Source organism: Homo sapiens, chromosome 18 (assembly GCF_000001405.40).
Source record: "Homo sapiens chromosome 18, GRCh38.p14 Primary Assembly".
Taxonomy (NCBI): domain Eukaryota; kingdom Metazoa; phylum Chordata; class Mammalia; order Primates; family Hominidae; genus Homo; species Homo sapiens.
In genome coordinates this window covers 7230330-7248954 of record NC_000018.10, presented here as the reverse complement: position 1 = coordinate 7248954, position 18625 = coordinate 7230330, and the positions used below count along the sequence as shown (strand labels likewise).

At 44.0% G+C, this 18625-nt stretch overlaps 1 protein-coding gene across 1 annotated transcript, besides 1 other annotated feature; it reads right to left on the bottom strand.

Moving 5' to 3' along the window:
• Positions 455 to 956: an enhancer, noted in NCBI's record as "H3K4me1 hESC enhancer chr18:7247997-7248498 (GRCh37/hg19 assembly coordinates)". NCBI's record gives its function as "activates a minimal SCP1, AML or CMV promoter by ChIP-STARR-seq in primed H9 embryonic stem cells {active_cell/tissue: H9 hESC(primed)}" and the evidence as "EXISTENCE:reporter gene assay evidence [ECO:0000049][PMID:30033119]".
• Positions 16911 to 17866, bottom strand: LRRC30 (leucine rich repeat containing 30). Its single transcript, NM_001105581.3, has one exon. It carries the CDS (start codon positions 17814 to 17816, stop codon positions 16911 to 16913), a length of 906 nt encoding a protein of 301 aa, NP_001099051.1. The 5' UTR covers positions 17817 to 17866.
• Positions 17867 to 18625: the final 759 nt, after the last annotated feature.

The window sequence follows — 18625 nt, the reverse complement described above, 5'->3', positions numbered from 1 at the left end:
ATTATTGAAGGGCTAAGTGGATGCCTGCAACAGTCCTTAAACTGTCTTCGATTTTCACAGCCAGATATTTGAATAGAGTTGCTGCAACTGAAACCAGGGTGTAAAAACATTTATATTTGTTTATTGGAGAAAATAATCAGTAGAATATGACTACGCTGTTTAAAGACCTGTTTGAATCAGAGATTACAGACACTGTACCGGGACGGGTTGGCGTGTCTAAGCGCTGAGCAATGGAGATGCTGTGGAGCCTGGACCACGCTGCTGTGGGGATTGCAGTCCTGAAGCAGGTCGGAGCAGCCCTGCACAAGGGGATGGCTTCCAGCCTCAGCCAAGAGTCAGCCAGAAGATGGCCAAGGGAGAGAGGGAAACAAGGAGACGACAGGCCATCTGGACAACGGTAGACATCTTTCTGCCAGCAGGCACCTGAGGAAGAATTTCTTTCCCAGCAAACACACCAAGGAAGTCTGGGAGGGCACCAACACTTGCAGCCTAGAGCAGGAGCCGAGGGTGTCTGCAGGCCTGAGGTGGGAGGTGCACATCAGAGTCCACCTGACGCCAGTGTGGTGAGTTTGGGCACTAGACACCAGGAACCCAAACAGCCACCTCGGGAGACATAGGACCGCGCGGCTGTGCTCTGTGCAGCTGCAGTGAAAAGTCTGTGCTTAGAGGATTTAACTTCAGGCTGTCTGGGCACAAAAGACTAATGCTCTCCTAGAGGAGTATGTTTGTTTTGTTCCAGGAAAGGACGATTCTCACCATAACAGCAGGAATGGTGCAGAGGAAAAGGGAGGAAGCAAAGCAGAATATCAATGGAAGAGGCCTTCCCAGAACCAGGACGGAGATAATGCTCCCTTGACTCCTGGCCAGGCAGGCAGGGAGACGGGACTGCTGGGCAGGGATCTGCCTGCCTAACCCCCTCCTTCAGAGGGATTTGACCACTCATGGAAGCCTGTGCTGGAAGCTTGTGGGATTCAGCCAGCTCCAGTCCCACCCATTCCTGCTCAGCCCCCGTCTCCCATTTTCTCCAGCTTTGATTCCACACTGATTTGCGACTCTCCGCACATGGGTCAGTTCCCTTTGGCAGCATTCACCTGAGCCACAGGGAGAGGTGTGCCCCATGCTGCCTGCTGGATGCCCTTTCCCGGACAGGTGACGGTGGGCACACTCTTGGTGCCACTTCCCTCATGGATGAAAATGATGACCAATTAACAGGGTTGTCATGAAGATGAATTAAAAGATATAGATCACTATATAGTTCCTCAGGACAGGTTGAGTATTCCATATCTGAAATGCAGGGGACCAGAAGTATTTCAGGTTTCAGATTTTTTTGGATTTTGGAAATTTGCATAATTCATAATGAGATATATTGGGCATGGGACCCAAATCTAAACAGGAAATCATTTATATGTCATGTACACCTTATACACATAGCACAAAGTGATTTTATACAATATTCTTTTTTTTTTTTTTTTTTGAGACGGAGTCTCTCTCTGTCCCCCAGGCTGGAGTGCAGTGGCGCGATCTCAGCTCACTGCAAGTTCCACCTCCCGGGTTCAAGCCATTCTCCTGCCTCAGCCTCCCGAGTAGCTGGGACTACAGGTGCCCACCACTACGCCTGGCTAATTTTTTGTATTTTTAGTAGATACGGGGTTTCACCATGTTAGCCAGGATGGTCTCGATCTCCTTACCCCGTGATCCGCCTGCCTTGGCCTCCCAAAGTGTTGGGATTACAGGCGTGAGCCACCGCACCCAGCCAATTTTATACAATATTCTTAATAACTTCATGCAAGAAACAAAGTTTTGACTGCATTTTGTCTGCAACTCATCACATGAGGTCAGGTGTGGAATTTTCCGTTTATGGCGTCATGTTGGTAAGCAAAGTATTTCCAGTTTTGGAGGATTTCAGATTTCAGATTTTTGGATTAGGGATGACCAACCTGTAAGAATAACTATGTACGCTGGGCTCGGTGGCTCATGCCTATAATCCCAGCACTTTGGGAGGCTGAGGTGGGCCAATCATGAAGTCAGGAGATTGAGACCATCCTGGCTAACATGGTGAAACCCCATTTCTACTAAAAATACAAAAAAAAAAAATTGCCAGGCGTGGTGGCAGGTGCCTGTAGTCCCAGCTACTCCGGAGGCTGAGGCAGGAGAATGGCATGAACCCGGGAGGCGGAGCTTGCAGTGAGCCAAGATCATGCTACTGCACTCCAGCCTGGGCGACAGAGCAAGACTCAGTCTCAAAAAAAAAAAAGAGTATGTAATGGAGATCTAGTAAGATTTAAATGGACCTGACTCATGGTAAGTACTCAACAACTATTACTTATACTTACATAATTGTCATTATTTAATCATTATTGTTATTATTTCTTCCACAAACCACTAACTCAGACATACATGTAGCTAAACTGCGGCTAGATGATGATGTCCTCTACCAAACAGTAATGAGATGATACTGCCAATGGTGGCCGTGCTGTCCTCAAGCTAATCACTTATTTATTGAACTCATGACTGGAGGTTTAATTATGCATGCACCCTTAGTGTTAAAGTTAGGTGATGAGTGCTTCATATGTTTATTCTTTGGTTCTCAGTACAGTACTTTTTAATGTAACATAACTTTGCACTAAAGGCACTCCTTAATCAGGTGTACACACCTGGCATTCGATTGATAAAATGAATTTCAACTAAGGAACAAATTAGAAATTAATGATTCTTAATAATTAGATATGAATATATTCAATAGAATGTATTAAGTGCCTAATGTATGCTAGGAAGGTTATATGCTGGGTAATGCAGCAGTGAGATAGGGTAGGTATGTTGCCTGTTGTCATGAGAGATACACATTACACAAGGTACACATCTATCTGTGTGTGTGTTTGTACACACATTTATATAATGAATTCAATTACATTTGATGGTACACACATACATATAGACACACATATATGTGTCATTTCAATTGTGGTTAAGTACTATGAAGGAAAAGTAAAAGGTTTTCTGAGAAGGTCTATTTCAGCTAAAACCTGAAGGGTGAGTGGGCTTTGGCCAGGCAGATCATTGCATGGAGAGGGAACCGTGTGTTTGAAGGTCCTGAGCTAGGCCAGTGGCCCATGGCTTCAGGAGCTAGAAGGCCAGTGTGTGTGTACATTCCTGAGAGAACAAAATGTTGTGCAGCAAATGAAGAAGTAGTTGGATGGAGCCAGGGTCTGCAAGGGCTGGTAGATCAAATGTAAGGATTTTTCTTGTATTGCAAGCACATATTAAAAGTCTTTAAGCACTGGTGGAACATGATCCAATGTGCATTTTTAAATACCTCTCAGCTCCTGTGTGGGGGATAGATTTAAAAGGGAGGCCCAGGGAAGAAAGTAGGGAGACCAGATTGAGGAGGCATGGTAGTGGCTTGGCCAAGGAGCAGCAGAAGAGACGGAGAAGAGGATTTTGGGGGTAAAGCCTCAGGATTGGGTGATAGGTAAGCTGAGCAGATTGAGTGAGGCAGATGGCTGGAATGAGTCTCAGGGTTCAGGCTAGATGTAAGTGCTTTTCACTGAGATGGAGAACAAGGGAGAAGGATCATGTTTGAGGGAGAAAGAAGAAGAAATCAATGGGCTGGTTATTGGCACCAGGTGAGCCTCTTGTTTCTGAAAGTGAGCACAAATGTTTTAAAAAGATATGTATGACAAAAAAGACAAATTTTAAGATTTGTTTGTTCTAGGTCTAGAGTCTGCAACTATTGTATGGGTATTAGCCTGGTAATATTAAGAGAAGAAAGAAATATAAATGTTTGGCCATCCTTTGACCTATGGAATTGTGCACAATGTGCAATTTTTTTTTTTTTTTGAGATAGTCTTGCTCTGTCACACAGGCTGAAGTGCAGTGGCGTGATCTTGGCTCACTGCAACCTCCGCCTCCCAGGTTCAAGCAATTCTCCTGCCTCAGCCTCCCAAGTAGCTGGGACTACAGACGTGCACCACCACGCCCGGCTAATTTTTGTATTTTTAGTAGAGACAGGGTTTCACCATGTTAGCCAGGATGGTCTCGAACTCCTGACCTCATTATCCGCCATCCTCGGCCTCCCAAAGTGCTGAGATTACAGGAATGAGCCACTACGCCCAGCCCCAATGTACAATTTTTTATTTCCTTTGGTATCAAACTAACACTTCTCTGCATTATACAGTATCATTACGTTATATAAAATTTTGAGTTTTAAAGACTTCAAGTAGTGTGATATTAACTAAGTCTTGATTTTGCAAAAAATTCAGAATAATGTCAATCCTCTAAGTTTAAAAATATTAAAAATTATAGTTTCAAAGCCGATAAACCCTGTGAATTCTGAATTGTGTTTATGCTACTTTCTTATGGCTGTGTCATTTTAACTAGTAAACAGAAACACCCATCATTGTTTTCTAGAATAGTGATGAACTATGACAATTTTGAATTATGTGAGATATAGAAGAATACATTTTTGCTTACAATGGTACTTCCTATCTGCAGAATTATAAAATTTTAGCTTAGAAATGGCCTTAACCAAGCCCCATATATGTAGCTTTATGCAATGTTATGCACCCAGGAGAATTAGTGAATCACATCCTTCCAAATATTTCACATATATTCTCAAATGTATTATTTTAAGAGTCTTCCTTCTCTTCCTTTTTGCCTCTTGTTTTCCCAAAGTGTAGTTTTAAAAGTAAATTGTTGGCAAGTTTGTAGGTAGTTTTTAAACTGCAGTGGTACGTGAGTAGAACAGCAAATATCAAATCAGAAATTATTCCTTACATTTCTATTCCCCCAAGGAAGAACAGCCGCAAGATGGAAAAAGGCCTGTCATCATCAAAACACATATGGAGAAAATAGTTTCCCAGTGAGAAGATAAAATTCTGTGGCTGTCTCTGCAGTTTAAATTACGAGTGCAAGATTTGTTCAAAAGACCTCGTATGCATTAGCAAGATGTAAACAGCAATCAGATTATTTGATCAATATGTGAAAAAAGTAAGCACACATACATGCCAGTGGAACTCTTTCTTTGGTTTTCAAAATTATTTATCATTTTGTGTAACGGAAACAATGAATATCACACCCTACCATTCATCTCAGGAAGGAATTCCCCATCTCCTGGTGACTTGTGAGAAAACAGGTCACAGGTTATAGGATGGTTTCTCTGCCCCTTACCAAGAGTAAGAATCTACAGGGCCATCATTCCTCAGTATGCATGACTTTATGGCGTTTCCATGCCTGTGGAGAGAATGCAAGATGAGGCCAAAATAAAAGACGATTTTTAGCTAGAGTTCCAAAAGAAGGCTATTGCCCTCTGCTTAACTTAGAGAGATCTTAGTAATTCAGACAAGAAGTCCAATAGAATACACACACAACATATAGAGAAGCCTTTTAGGCCGCTTGCCAGCAAGACACCCTGCGTTGGAGCAAGTATCAGTAGTGTGTAGGTAGGAGAATGTGCAGGGCTAACTCTGAAATTCTGTTGATCAAATTTCACACTCTGAAATGTATTCATTAAATGACAGACTCAAGGAAAATTTTCCTTTCCACAGTGCTAAGAGGTAATCTAACACGAATGTTGGTTTTGCTATCCTTTGCTCCAGTTTTAAACATGTAGCTTGAAAACGTAATGATGTGCCCCAAGATAGAAACAAATTAAAACACATGGAGAAGGAAAAAGAGGGGAAAGGACATGAATTGAGACTTGTCCAACTATATTTCGGTGAGTCTTGTCCCATACTGTTACGGATCTGTACTTGATGACGATTAAAATTGCTGCCAGTTAGGAGAGTAGGCAGAGGGTAGGCTGCCTGTTAAATTGCTGCCAGTTAGGAGAGCAAAAGGCAGAAGTGCGTAAGTGTCCACTTGGAACACTTGGCCCTGCTAGCTGGAATTTCTGTGTGATTAGAGAAAACTTCTTTTCATCAACCAATAATTTCAAGGGTTTTCACAAATACAGATGTGAAATATAGAATAGTAATAGCCCCTTTATCTAGCATCTGGAAAAAGTAAGCATTACTGCATATGGGAATTTTTGAGATGGCTGAGCATAGCACTTTGAGTATCACAACTTCAAGAAAAAGAATCACCAGTTTTGACTGAAACCCTTCACAGGAGAGTCGATTTTTTCCTAACTTCTTCCTGTTTGTTTTGCTAGTGATTCCCAAATTTTATCTCCAACCCAGATCTCTTCCCTGAACCCTAGATGGCTTTCTCACTTCACTCAGAGCAAAAGCCAAAGCTCTTCCAATGGCCTAAAGCCTTCTACTAGCCAATCCCACCATCCAGGTGACTTCGTTACTCTCCTTGCACTCACTCCATTCAGCCATGCTGGCCTTCTTGTTTTTCCATGAACATGTCAGGCACACTTCTAACTTTCCATGGCTTTCTTTTCTGTCTAAAATATCTTTCCCTGAAATATCTGCATGACTGTCTCCTTCACTGCCTACAAGTCTCTGCTTTTTTTTTTTTTTTTTGAGACCGAATTTCTCTCTTGTTGCCCAGGCTGGAGTGCAGTGGTGCCATCTCGGTTCACCGCAACATCTGCCTCCCAGGATCAAGCAATTCTCCTGCCTCAACCTTCCTGAGTAGCTGGGATTATAGGCATGCACCACCATGCCTGGCTAATTTTGCATTTTTAGTAGAGATGGGTTTCTCCATGTTGGTCAGGCTGGTCTCAAACTCCCAACCTCAGATGATCCACCCTCCTCGGCCTCCCAAAGTGCTGGGATTACAGGCGTGAGCCACCGTGCCCGACCAAGTCTCTGTTTAAACGTGATATTCTCAGCAACCTTCCTGACCATCCTATAGCAAATCCCCCTCCAGCCCTATTCTCCCTCCCTGTCTTATTTTTCTCCATATGCTTATTATTAATTGGCATAATATGTATGTATGTATGTATTCATTCATTCATTATCTTATGACTTGAAGGTCTTACCTATGAATACATGAATAAAATATTTGACATTAACTCTGGTATCTCAGACAGGTTTAGAATAACTGAGATTGCACTTTGGGAGGCCGAGGCGGGCGGATCACGAGGTCAGGAGATCGAGACCATCCCGGCTAAAACGGTGAAACCCCATCTCTATTAAAAATACAAAAAATTAGCCGGGCGTAGTGGCGGGCACCTGTAGTCCCAGCTACTTGGGAGGCTGAGGCAGGAGAATGGCGTGAACCCGGGAGGTGGAGCTTGCAGTGAGCCGAGATCCCGCCACTGCACTCCAGCCTGGGCGACAGAGCGAGACTCCGTCTCAAAAAAAAAAAAAAAAAAAAAAAAAAAAGAATAACTGAGATTGACTTATAAATGACCTCCTAATAGAGTAGCACTGTATCATTCAGAAGGAAACTGTGATATGTCCAACATGTAGTCAAAGCGTTGTTTACAGTGCACAAAAATAATGTGGGAGTTCACTCTGGGCTGCCTATATAATGAGCCTGTGGGACCAGAGTTTCACTGTTTTTTCCAGAAGAGTAAATGAAACTCCAGATTGTCTTCTCTGGGACTAATGATGCCCAAGATCTCTCGGTGCTGAGTAGCTGGCTTTCTTTGGCAATTCCTAACACAAAAACCAGCCAAGAAGCCACCAAAGGGATTGATACAGTTTGGCCGTGTCCCCTTCCAAATATCATCTTGAATTCCCACATATTGTGGGAGGGACCCGGTGGGAGGTAATTGAATCATTGGGGCAGGTATTTCCCATGCTGTTCTCATGATAGTGAGTAAGTCTCACAAGATCTGATGGTTATATAAAAATGAGAGTTTCCCTGCACAAGCCCTTCTCTTGTCTGCTGCCATGTGAGATGTGCCTTTCACCTTCCGCCATGATTGTGAGGCTTCCCCAGCCACATGGAACTGTAAGTCCAATAAACCTCTTTCTTTTGTAAGTTGCCCAGTCTCAGGTACATCTTTATCAGCAGCATGAAAATGGACTAATACAGGGATCTAATTAGTGTGCTCATGATTTCCGTATAAAAAGGGAGAACTACCAGAGAAGTGAGTTCTCCTCTAGACAGACACACCTCCCATGCATGGCCAGCCAAATACCTTGTCCCTGGCTTCCTTTGACCCTCTCTGCATCAAGAGGAAATCTGGGAACCTGTGGCTTCTCCTCCTTGATGACTCTTGGCTTGTAAGTTTCTGCTTTCTTAATAAAGTTTATTCTTTAATTCATGGTTTTGGGGAGTTCCCAAGACCATCATCCAGTATGACAATTTGCTAGAAGGACTCACGGATCTCAGGAAATCTGTTTATTCAGGGATATGGTTTATTACTACAAAATGATATAAACAAAATCAGCAAAATAAAAGGAGCATATGGCAGAATCAAGGAAAGCCCAGGCACAAGTTTCAGCCGTCCTCTTCTAATGGAGTTGTAGAGATGGTGCTTAATTCTTACAGCAAGGATGTATGACAGCAGGTATAAAGTGCCACCCACCAGGGAAGCCCCCCTGAGCCTTGCTGTCCAGGAGTTTTATTGGGAGTCACTCATCATGGAGTGCCCATGTGGCTGACCTTTGTACTTCAGACTCCAGCTTCTCCAGAGGTCAGATGGTTAACATGTCACCCAAGGCCCACACCATAAATGACACTGATAGGACAGACTATCTGATGTGGCTCAAGGCCCCAGGAAAGTGCACCCTTTTATCAGGCAGGATGTTCCAAGGGCTTGGAGGTTATCTCCCAGGAACCATTCAAAACCCAAGCCTTTCTTTAGAATGTGCAGGATCTGAGCAACTGCTGAGCATTCAGACCTGCTGGGCCAACATTTTGATGCACACATACTGTGTGATTTTGTCAAATTCATCCTCAGCCTTTGCACAATAGGTGATGACTGTTAAGGAACCAAGATCACCTGACATAAAGATAAATCTGCTTATTCTTTTTTTTTTTTAAGACGGGTCTCACCCTGTCACCCAGACTGGAGTGTAGTGGCACAATCTCGGCTCACTGCAACCTCTGCCTCCCAGGCTAAAGCAATTCTCGTGCCTCAGCTTCCCAAGTAGCTGGGATTACAGGTGCCTGCCACCATGCCCAGCTAATTTTTGTGTTTTTTGCAGAGATGGGGTTTCACCATGTTGGCCAGGCTCATTCTGACTATCAGAAATGGAGCTAGTTTCCTTCTCCAGCTGTAGAAGAAAGCTGGCTCAAGTGATATTTGTTGTGGCAAATTAATCAACAAGAGCATGATAAGTTCATTCACAAACTGAGCAAACTCAGTTTTCTATAATCAACATATTATATAGTCAAATGAACAATAAAAAATTTCTGGGCCAGGCGCGGTGGCTCACGCCTGTAATCCCAGCACTTTGGGAGGCCGAGGCAGGCGGATCACAGGGTCAGGAGATCGAGACCATACCTGCTAACATGGTGAAACCCTGTCTCTACTAAAAAAATACAAAAAATTAGCCGGGTATCATGGTGGGCGCCTGTAGTCCCAGCTACTCGGGAGGCTGAGGCAGGAGAATGGCGTGAACCCGGGAGGCGGAGATTGCAGTGAGCCGAGATGGCGCCACTGCACTCCAGCCTGGGCGACAGAGCAAGACTCCGTCTCAAAAAAAAAAAAAAGAAAAAAAAAGATTTCTGTAGAAAACATGTCATATATATTTCTGGGAAATCAAACAAATTCTTTAAATCATTTATAGTAGAAGTTTATGAAAACAAGAGAGCATAAACATTAAACATACGGAAGACTGTTATCTTTCTTGGATAAATTCTTTGTTTATACTATTCCTGTGACTTCCAGAAAGGAAATCCTTAACTTTCTCATATATTGTGGCTGAAGAGGATAATACCAGAACTAGACTTTGAATTCTCAAAGTATATGGCAACAATATGACAGCAATATTATTTAAGAATTGTTATCATGTGCAATTGTAACCTATCCTTTCATAACTAAGGTTAATCAAAACCAAATTAAGTCCTTAATTTCTGATTTCCACAGTGTAAATAACATCAATTTGTAGCTTTGACTAAAACAGTGGAGGTGGAGAGAGGAACAACATTATTAAGAATCAAAGATACCAAAGACTTATTTTGCAGCTTCATATGTGTTGATTTGCAGAAGTTACTTTTGAAAATTTATAACAAAAATCAAATTTGATTCACATGTGCAGGTAGATAAGGAAGGGCTATGTAAGAGGTATGAATTTTATTATTGTATTTCCTCAACTCACACTTTGGAATACACTATGCTTTTTTAAACAAGAGGAAAGATTTCAGCTCTAAGTGCCCAAATCATTTAATTAAATCAAACCCAGAAGTGTTTTTGTTTGTTTGCTTGTTTTTAAGGGAAAGCATAACTAGGAATTTCATCTCGTCCAGAAACATGAATCAGAGAAGTGGTTAATCAGTCAATTAAAAAAGCGAAACAGAGGCTTTTCCCTCTGAGCTTCCAATCCATTAAAAAATTAGAGATGGAATCCAGGCAGTTTGGAGGTCTATAAACCCCTAGATTCACCCACAATACTGCTCGCTCTTTTTATATTTTTGAACATCAACCAAAATTAAAATTACCTTTTCTGGTGTGCTGGAAGGGATATCAAAGCACTCATACTGATCTCGACCCATCTCCACAATGCTCCACAGTGATTTTTGCTTTTCTTGAGTAATCACAGTAATTATAAGCCCAATATCTATTTACCAAGGCATTAAATCAGAGATAGAATGCAGTCATAGAATTTCAAAGCTGAAAGGAGTGTAAAGCAAGATCACCCCACCCTCTCTGAGGCCCAGAGAGGTGGGGTGGAGAGGTGGGTGATCTTGCATGCTCTTTCACTTTCTCATTTGTCCATTTGATACATTATTCTTATCTCCCCTATGCTGGGTGCAAAGATAACAGCCATCAAGGCGTGCAGTCTCCAGTGGCAGAGAGAGCCAGGAGCAGCTGAATCTGGAGACCAGAGCTTTCATTTTCCAGTGGGCACACGTTCTGCGAGACCAACTATTCTCCTGTTTGTGTTGTGATAGGAGACACCTAGAGTGTTTGTTAGGCCCACACATGCCAGGCCCTACCCTGGCTCACTGAATCTGAAAGCATGCCAAAGGAGCTGGGGCTCTACCCTTTTAACAAATGCACAGATGAGTCTAATCACCAGGCACCAGCAGGGCCCCTGTCTGCTGACCAGGGCCAGAGACCCGCCTCTTTCACTGGCCTCTTTCAATGGCCAGGCTCACAGCCCCATTGGCTTCATGGTCCTATATCTGACGGTTTAGGTAATAGCCGGCATCATCATTTCACAACCCAGAGTGAGCCACAGAATTACCTACTTTGCTTTAAGCAAAGTAAGAAGCCCAGGTCTAACCCAGACCAACTATATTAAAATCTTTCAAATCTTTTTTTTTAAATACCAGGAGGTATTCTGATGAACAGCCAACATTGAGAACCACTGCCAGCCCAGGGTCCTTTCTGAAACCTCGGGAAGGATCCTGGCCCATAATGTGGTAAAGGAGAGGCTTGGGAACACTTTTCGAAGCCAGGACACACAGTGTCTCCAGGTATCATGACTCCTTCCATGTGCTTGCCTATCCTCTTAGATTTTGGTAAAGAAAATAGAAAAATGAAAAGGGCAGATGTCACAAAGGTGTTATAAAGCAGCCTGCTCTGAGACTGTGGGATTCACAAATTTCCCTTCAAGACAAAGCAAAACAAAGGAAGCATCATGTCTGTAACTGTCATGCTGGACTGTGCATTCCCCACACCATTGCAGTAATGCCACATCTCTGCCATCCCATAATTTCACCTAAACGCCTTTGCACTTGTCTACACATCTCTTCGGGCAGGGCTGTCACAGGATTGCATCGTGTTTAGCTGAGCCTCACTCCTTTGCCCCCGTCCCATCATCCTGTCCCGATGTCACCTGCTCAGGCTCAGGACACATATGCACAGTAAGCGCCATGTGATCCATGTGCCTGCTCTCAGCTCAGAGCTTTCCCACCACCCCGCAGAGCCTCTTCTTAATCTTCTTGATTAATCTGCCACAACAAATATCATTTGAGCCACCACCCCCGGGCATACATAGGGTGGTGGGCATGACCTTTAGGAGACGGGAAGATAACAGAGACTTCCCCACAGTGCCATGTCCGGGCACACTGACTTCTGAGGAACCCAAGTCACTCAAGACCAAAGAACATGGGTGAGTAAGTGATGTCCCGTCAGCAGCTACAGCTCACACCCTCAAAGCTTGTATCGCCTTATAGTTTTCATAATCTATGTTTCTCTTAAGAGTTTCACCGGGCACGGTGGTTCATGCCTATAATCCCAGCACTTTGGGAGGCTGAAGCAGACGGATCACCTGAGGTCAGGAGTTCAAGACCAGTCTGGCCAACATGGCAAAACCCCGTCTCTACTAAAAATACAAAAATTAGCCAGGCATGGTGGTGGGTGCCTGTAATCCCAGCTACTCAGAAGGCTGGGGCAGGAGAATCGCTTGAACCTGGGAGATGGAGATTGCGTTGAGCCGAGATCATGCCACTGCACTCCAGGCTGGGTGACAGAGTGAGACTCCATCTCCAAAAAAAAAAAAAAAAAAGAGTTTCAAGAAATACCCTGATGGTACTCCAGTTTGCCTTTTATTTTCTGTCCTGTGCTGAAATAAGGAGTGAGTCTAGAGGCATATAGGAAATCAGCTCTCTCCTTGCAAGCAGATTCCTATGGCACTACTAAAAAAATCTGCATAGCAAGGTTCATGTTAATGGCTTTCGGTTATGCTTGCCTAATGATGCCCAAGCTCTTACAAATTCATTATGAGCCCTCCCTGCATCCTCTTTTTATTACTGTGCTGTTCTTTTTTAAAAAAAATCAGTAATGCTTTGGATTCAACATGTAACTAGACAGGAAACTTAAAAGAAACACTTGTAGAAAGTTCTCTTCTCAACAAGGTCGAGACTGTTCCCATTATTGTTTACAATAACTTTCACGTTCCTCTTAATTTTATTTTGTTTTCTTGAAATATAGGAAGGGGTTGTATTTTGGTATTCTTGGATTAGTTACAACTAAGACATTACCTCAAGGGTACTGGTACTTCATTGCACACTAGCTGGGTATTTTGTGTTTCTCAAATATATCTTACAGAGTACTGAAAATAATTCTTTTGTGGAATGAGAAAATCAAGACCATTTGGATACTTCAGTAGTAGATAATAATGCCATAATTTAGTATTTAGAATCTTCATAGTGGCTTAATTTAGCAGCTTTAATTTTTTTAGACCACTTCCTGAATTCATCTTCTCTTTTTCACCATTTGTACCAGAACCTCAGGGACTCCATCTAGACAGGGGACTCCCCCTAGCATATGAGAAATACACTCCAGTCCAGCCTCTGGGCCTCCGTCTCCCCAGTAATCTCAGGTGTCAATACCTGAATGTGCGTTCCAGTAGCTGAGCCCACATTCCTTTAATCTTCCTCTGTTTTTAATGAATGGCCCTCAAAATGCATATTCAGTATATGCTTTGAGCCATATGAAATACACTTTCAAAATGCAATATTCATTGCCAAAAGAAAAAGGTTGAGTTTAATGCATCTGTACAAATAGTGACAGCATTCCCTCTTTTATCTCTTTCCAGCACAAGCATGACTTTACTGTGAAATCCAGGTGCAGTCATGAAGTCGTTCTCTTTCCTTACTCCAGAAAGGCAGTCTATTAACTAAAGCCCAAGAATGGAGTGCATTTCTCTGTTAACCATTTATTAAGTCAACAAGCTAAGTAATGACTACATTTTTCTTTCTAATGTGCCTGCAGTATTATGCATTTAGCAATATTATTCCTTGAACAGATGTGTCTTTTCACAGTCGTCTTCCTTTCCTATGAACATAGGATTTCTTCATAATTGTATGCCTGTAAGCTGCAACTGTTTCGAAAGGTGCTTCTGAACACACACTGAGATCCCTCCATACTGAGAGCCAAGTGACATGAAAACCAAAACATCATCAAGAATGGGAGCAGCCAGCTCCCCACATCAAGCACCCAATTAGCTCGTATTCTTTGGCTAAGTATACTCCGCAGCCAATCCAGTCACCTCAGTGCTTTGATTTCAGAAGCTTTAGAAATACCTGGAGTTACTTGAATGTGGCAGTATTCAAAATACAACAGATAAGGAAGAAGCATTTCACAATCAGTCAGCAAACTATAGGATTTGACAGCGAAGACACTGAAGGTTATATCAAATTGTTTCCGCGTTCACATTTTGAATAACTAAGCACATTAACCAGTTTTGTGCTCAGCACTTCCCTTTATCAATAAAAAGGAGTATTCACAAAGAATCAATATCTAAAGCACATCGGGCAACTACTACACTTTTATGATTTCCTCAATGCTGAGTGTTAACAAAGAAAACCTTGCTACTATACTTTTGAAAGACACCAATGGAAGCTGACAACCAAATTGATATCATTTTTTTTCTTATAAAAAGTATAATGAGCTCTTGGGTCACCTTCAAAATATGGTCACATTCTTTCCCTGGAGTAGAGTTACTGTGGGATCAAGTGACTGAAAAGGCTAGGAGAGGAAATAAAATGATTGCTCAGCAGGACAAGTGCGGTGCTGCTGTCCTCGCCTGCGTCTCTGCCCACAGCAAGGTCATGGAAATTCAGCGTGAGCCCAAGTGGTTCTTCAGCAGCAGACACTCATGGGCATGATCCTGGCACTTGCTAGTGTTTGTCTGACAGCTGCGTGTGCTTCAGCCAAGGCTGCAGTAAGTGACCTACCAGGTTCTGCGGAGGAAGCCTGGCCCTACCATTCCCCATTGAGTCAGGAGGTCAAGTGAGAATTCCACTGATGTCTTTAAATAGTCTTGCCTGCAACAAGCTAACATGGGGGAGAATTCTGGAGTGTGCCTGGATGTGCCTGGCAGGGATAGGCAGGTCTCCAGTTGCTGCTAGAGGGGGAATTTGGAGGAGACTTCCTTAGCTGCCTCCAAATGATACCGGTAAGGTCTGTGTGCAATGGTTCAACAGAAGACCTCATGCACAAATGTGCTAATGGAACTATGGTATCTGGTGATAATAGCAGAAATTGGCTTCCTTCTTTTACGGGTGGGAAAATTGAATTGGGGTCTGTTGGGAAAAAATCACTTGCTCTATGAATAAGCTATACGGACCCCCTTTGAACAGCTTTTAGAAAAAGCAAGTATTTTTCACAGTAAAATTGCCTAAGCTCAGAACCTGAGAATGAGCTAGCCACTGCCTCAACACTCCGCTGCTCTTTCCAAATCAGGCGAGTGCAGAGGTGGGGAGGAATTAGGGTTTGATGGCTGCAGGGAATGAAGGGGTTGACTGATTTATCCCAGCTGTGCTATTTGCTTACTGTTCTCTGGTTACTGAGACTTTGGAGCTCAGTCTAGTCTACGCCCTATAGTGTGTTATTCTTGCCTCAGCCCATTGTTTGTATCCTTCTTGAGCAGGGATCACATCTTGCTGCACGTTGTAGAAACCACGTGGGTCTCTCTCCTTCTCCAACCTGGGAGCTCTGTGGTAGGAGGAGCAGGTGTTGTTCTTCTCAGGTTTCCCGCCCAGTGTCCGGACCGGAAAAGGTGCTAATAAATATAAGTTAAATTGAATTAAACTAGGAATACTGAGAAGTTATACAAGTGTTGGCAGCAACCCCAAATGCTAAGTCTTGGTATCATTTGCTATAATTTTGCAGACAAATGTGCCAAGAGATCAGAACAATTGGCTCTTTGTAGACCTGAAGGTACTTGATTTTCTTCAGTGTCATCTTTTCATTCTGATTCTGTAGCTCTAAACCAATATTAATGCCATGTGGCTCTTGGCTGCTGCCAGAGCAGTGAGGTCCAGTGACCTTTGGTGCAGGAACTCTGTCACTGCTTGCCCTGGTGTCTGTATTTCACTAACAGCTGTGTGCTCTTAAAATAAAAAAACAAGCTTCGTGTTTTTATAGAGACTTTTTTCCAAGGAGCTTTTAAATGTCACTAAACTCATTTTTTTTTTAACGTTAACATGGGAAAGTCAATATTACCCTCCTCCAAATTGTAAAAGGGTGATTACTTTTTTGCATGACTTGTCTATGTCTTTCCCCTCTTTTCTGCCTTTTGGTCATTGTTGGCCAAATTATCCCATTTAGTAGTTTATCTCTGAGAGGGCAGATGTAGTCATGGAGAAGTGAAATTAAAATGGGATCATTTGATGATTGCCTAGTGTCTAGCAAAGAAGTTCAAGGACATGACAATGAGTGGGACAGGACTGGGAAGGAAGGTTGAAATACACATTATATCAGTTCATATTTAATATCTGAAAGCCATCCTTCTACCCATTTACTCACCACCAGACATAAGCATGAGTGGCTTGGTTATTCCTCTGTAGCCGCATGAAAGAAAAATTTCCTATGATTGTCCCCCAGAACTCAAGGCGAAAACTCTGCCTCTTTTGGTCACTGGGGACAGAGCCCACTGTGGTTTGCCTTTTGGTCCCAAGTAATGTTTCACAGAGGCTGATGGAGGAACGTGTCTTGCCGTTGCCACCTGGCCACAGGTTGCTGATTCAAGGGCAGAAACTATCTGAAACCAGGTTTCAGCACCTCATACTGTACTTGGCACACAGTACTTAGCAAATATTTGCCTTTTGAATTACATTGAATTCAGACCTGTTAGGTGTCCACTCTCCCAAGGGCTGAATCTCACTGCTCCTCAGAAGAATCAGAACTGTTAGTTCTCTTTGGGGAAAACCAACCCCCTGTTTCAATTTATGTTTAGGATGAGATGAACATGATATTCCAGAGGTTATTAAGAACATACAGAGTTAAAAACAATCACCTCCTTAACGTGGATGTTCAACAGCGACTTAGCAAATATTAACAAAGGTATTGTCAGACACTAAGGATGAGAGTAGAAAGCTGAGACGAGAGAAGTACCCCGGTTGACAGAGTCCAGATGAGCTGCCTCCCATCCAGGCCTCCGGGACCCAGGTCAGGTGTGTTTTTTGTCCTTCAGGTAGCCGAAGAGCATCTCCAGGCCCCCCTCCACCAGCTCCGGCAGAGGCTTGGATAAAGGGTTGTGGGAAATGTGGAGCCCTTTGTCCATGGGATTCCAGGCGATCCTCACCAGTCTACACAGCAGGTGGAGTTCGCTCGGGAGGGTCTGGATGTCATTGTTGTTGAGGTTCAGCAGCTCCAGGCTGGTGACCAGGCAAAGCGACCTCGGGAAGGAGTGGATGTTGTTGCCCTCTGCGATGAAGATCTGCAGGCTGGCCAGGTGCTGGATGCTCTCAGCGATGTTTTCCAGGCGATTCGAGCCCACGTGCAAGAAAATCAGTTCCTTCAGGGAGAACACACACATGGGGATGTGCGCGAAGAAGTTGTTGCTGAGGTTTAGCTTCCTCAGTCTAGAGAGGTCGGCGAAGCATGCAGGGAGCTGGGACAGGCAGTTGTGCGACAAGCTCAGGACCTCCAGCTTTCGGCACAAGCTCAGCTCGGCCGGCACCTCTGTCAGGCAGTTCATGTTGACAAACAGGACCTTGAGGCACTGTAGGAGGCTCACTTCTCTGGGCAGGCTCTTCAGGCGGTTCCCGCACAAGTTCAGGACCACGATCCGGGTCAGTTTCCCCACCTCGGGAGGGAGAACCCGGAGCTGGTTGTGAGACAGATTGAGTTTCTGGACCTCGGACAAGCCCCACAGAAAGTCGGGGATGTCTGTCATTCCTCTCGTGACCAGGCTGAAGCTGACGTGGTGCATGCCCCGCTTCAGCAGGGACCGCGGGTCCCTTCCCGAGAGCAGGGCATCGTCCCACGGAGAAAACTTCTGTCTCCTCCCCGTGAACAGCATCCTCTTGGGGCCCTTATCCTTGGAGCTGGCCCTTGACTGCCTGGCCCCCATTGTACCTTCCCTTCTAGTCACTCTCCTCTGCCACCTCCCAGGCAGGGACCGTGTCCTCTCAGCTGCTAAAAGCCAGGCTGTTGCAGGCAGGGAGTGTGCGTCAGGGTGAGAACCAACTTGTGACTAGGAGGTCCTAGTGTGGAGAAAGCTGCCAGGAGAGTCTTGATCAGGCCTTGCAGGTATCTGAGACAGGTCCCTGGGTGGCTGCAGGAGCTGTGCCTGTTCCCCAGGGTTTAGGTGTTTTCTTTCTTAGCAGCTGGGCTGTAATGATATACTTGTCCAGGAGGCTGCTAAACTGCTCAAATCCCTCTGAATGCCACAAGGCAGCTGTCACTGTCACTCTGCCTGAGTTTTATTGACTGGGTACATGCAAACAGGTCACAGGAAGGCTGCATATAACTTTACTCTCTCAGCTTTTCTTGGGTATCACAGTTGAGCAGGGTGATTAACAAGCCCATCTCTAAAAAGAAGTAAAATGGAAAAACAGAGCAGGCCACACAAGTACGGACTGTTGGCAGGATTGCGGGAGCTCAGCCAGACAACTTTACAGTGAAACTGGGCTGGGTGCTAGTGACAGTTATGTCTCCAAAGCTAAAGATCATCAGATGATATCATAGGTCCCTGTTCCAAACCTTGATGAACTGTGCGTTTGTGAAAAGATAACAAAAGCAGCCCGGATACCTGGAATCTTCCAGGTCAAAGGTTTTTATCCTGTGCTTGTCAGAGGTGATTTAGTGAGAAGGGAGTTGTGGGGGGATCTCAACCCCTCACTCCCATTTCATCCAGAGAAGCTCTGGGCTCATGTGTCT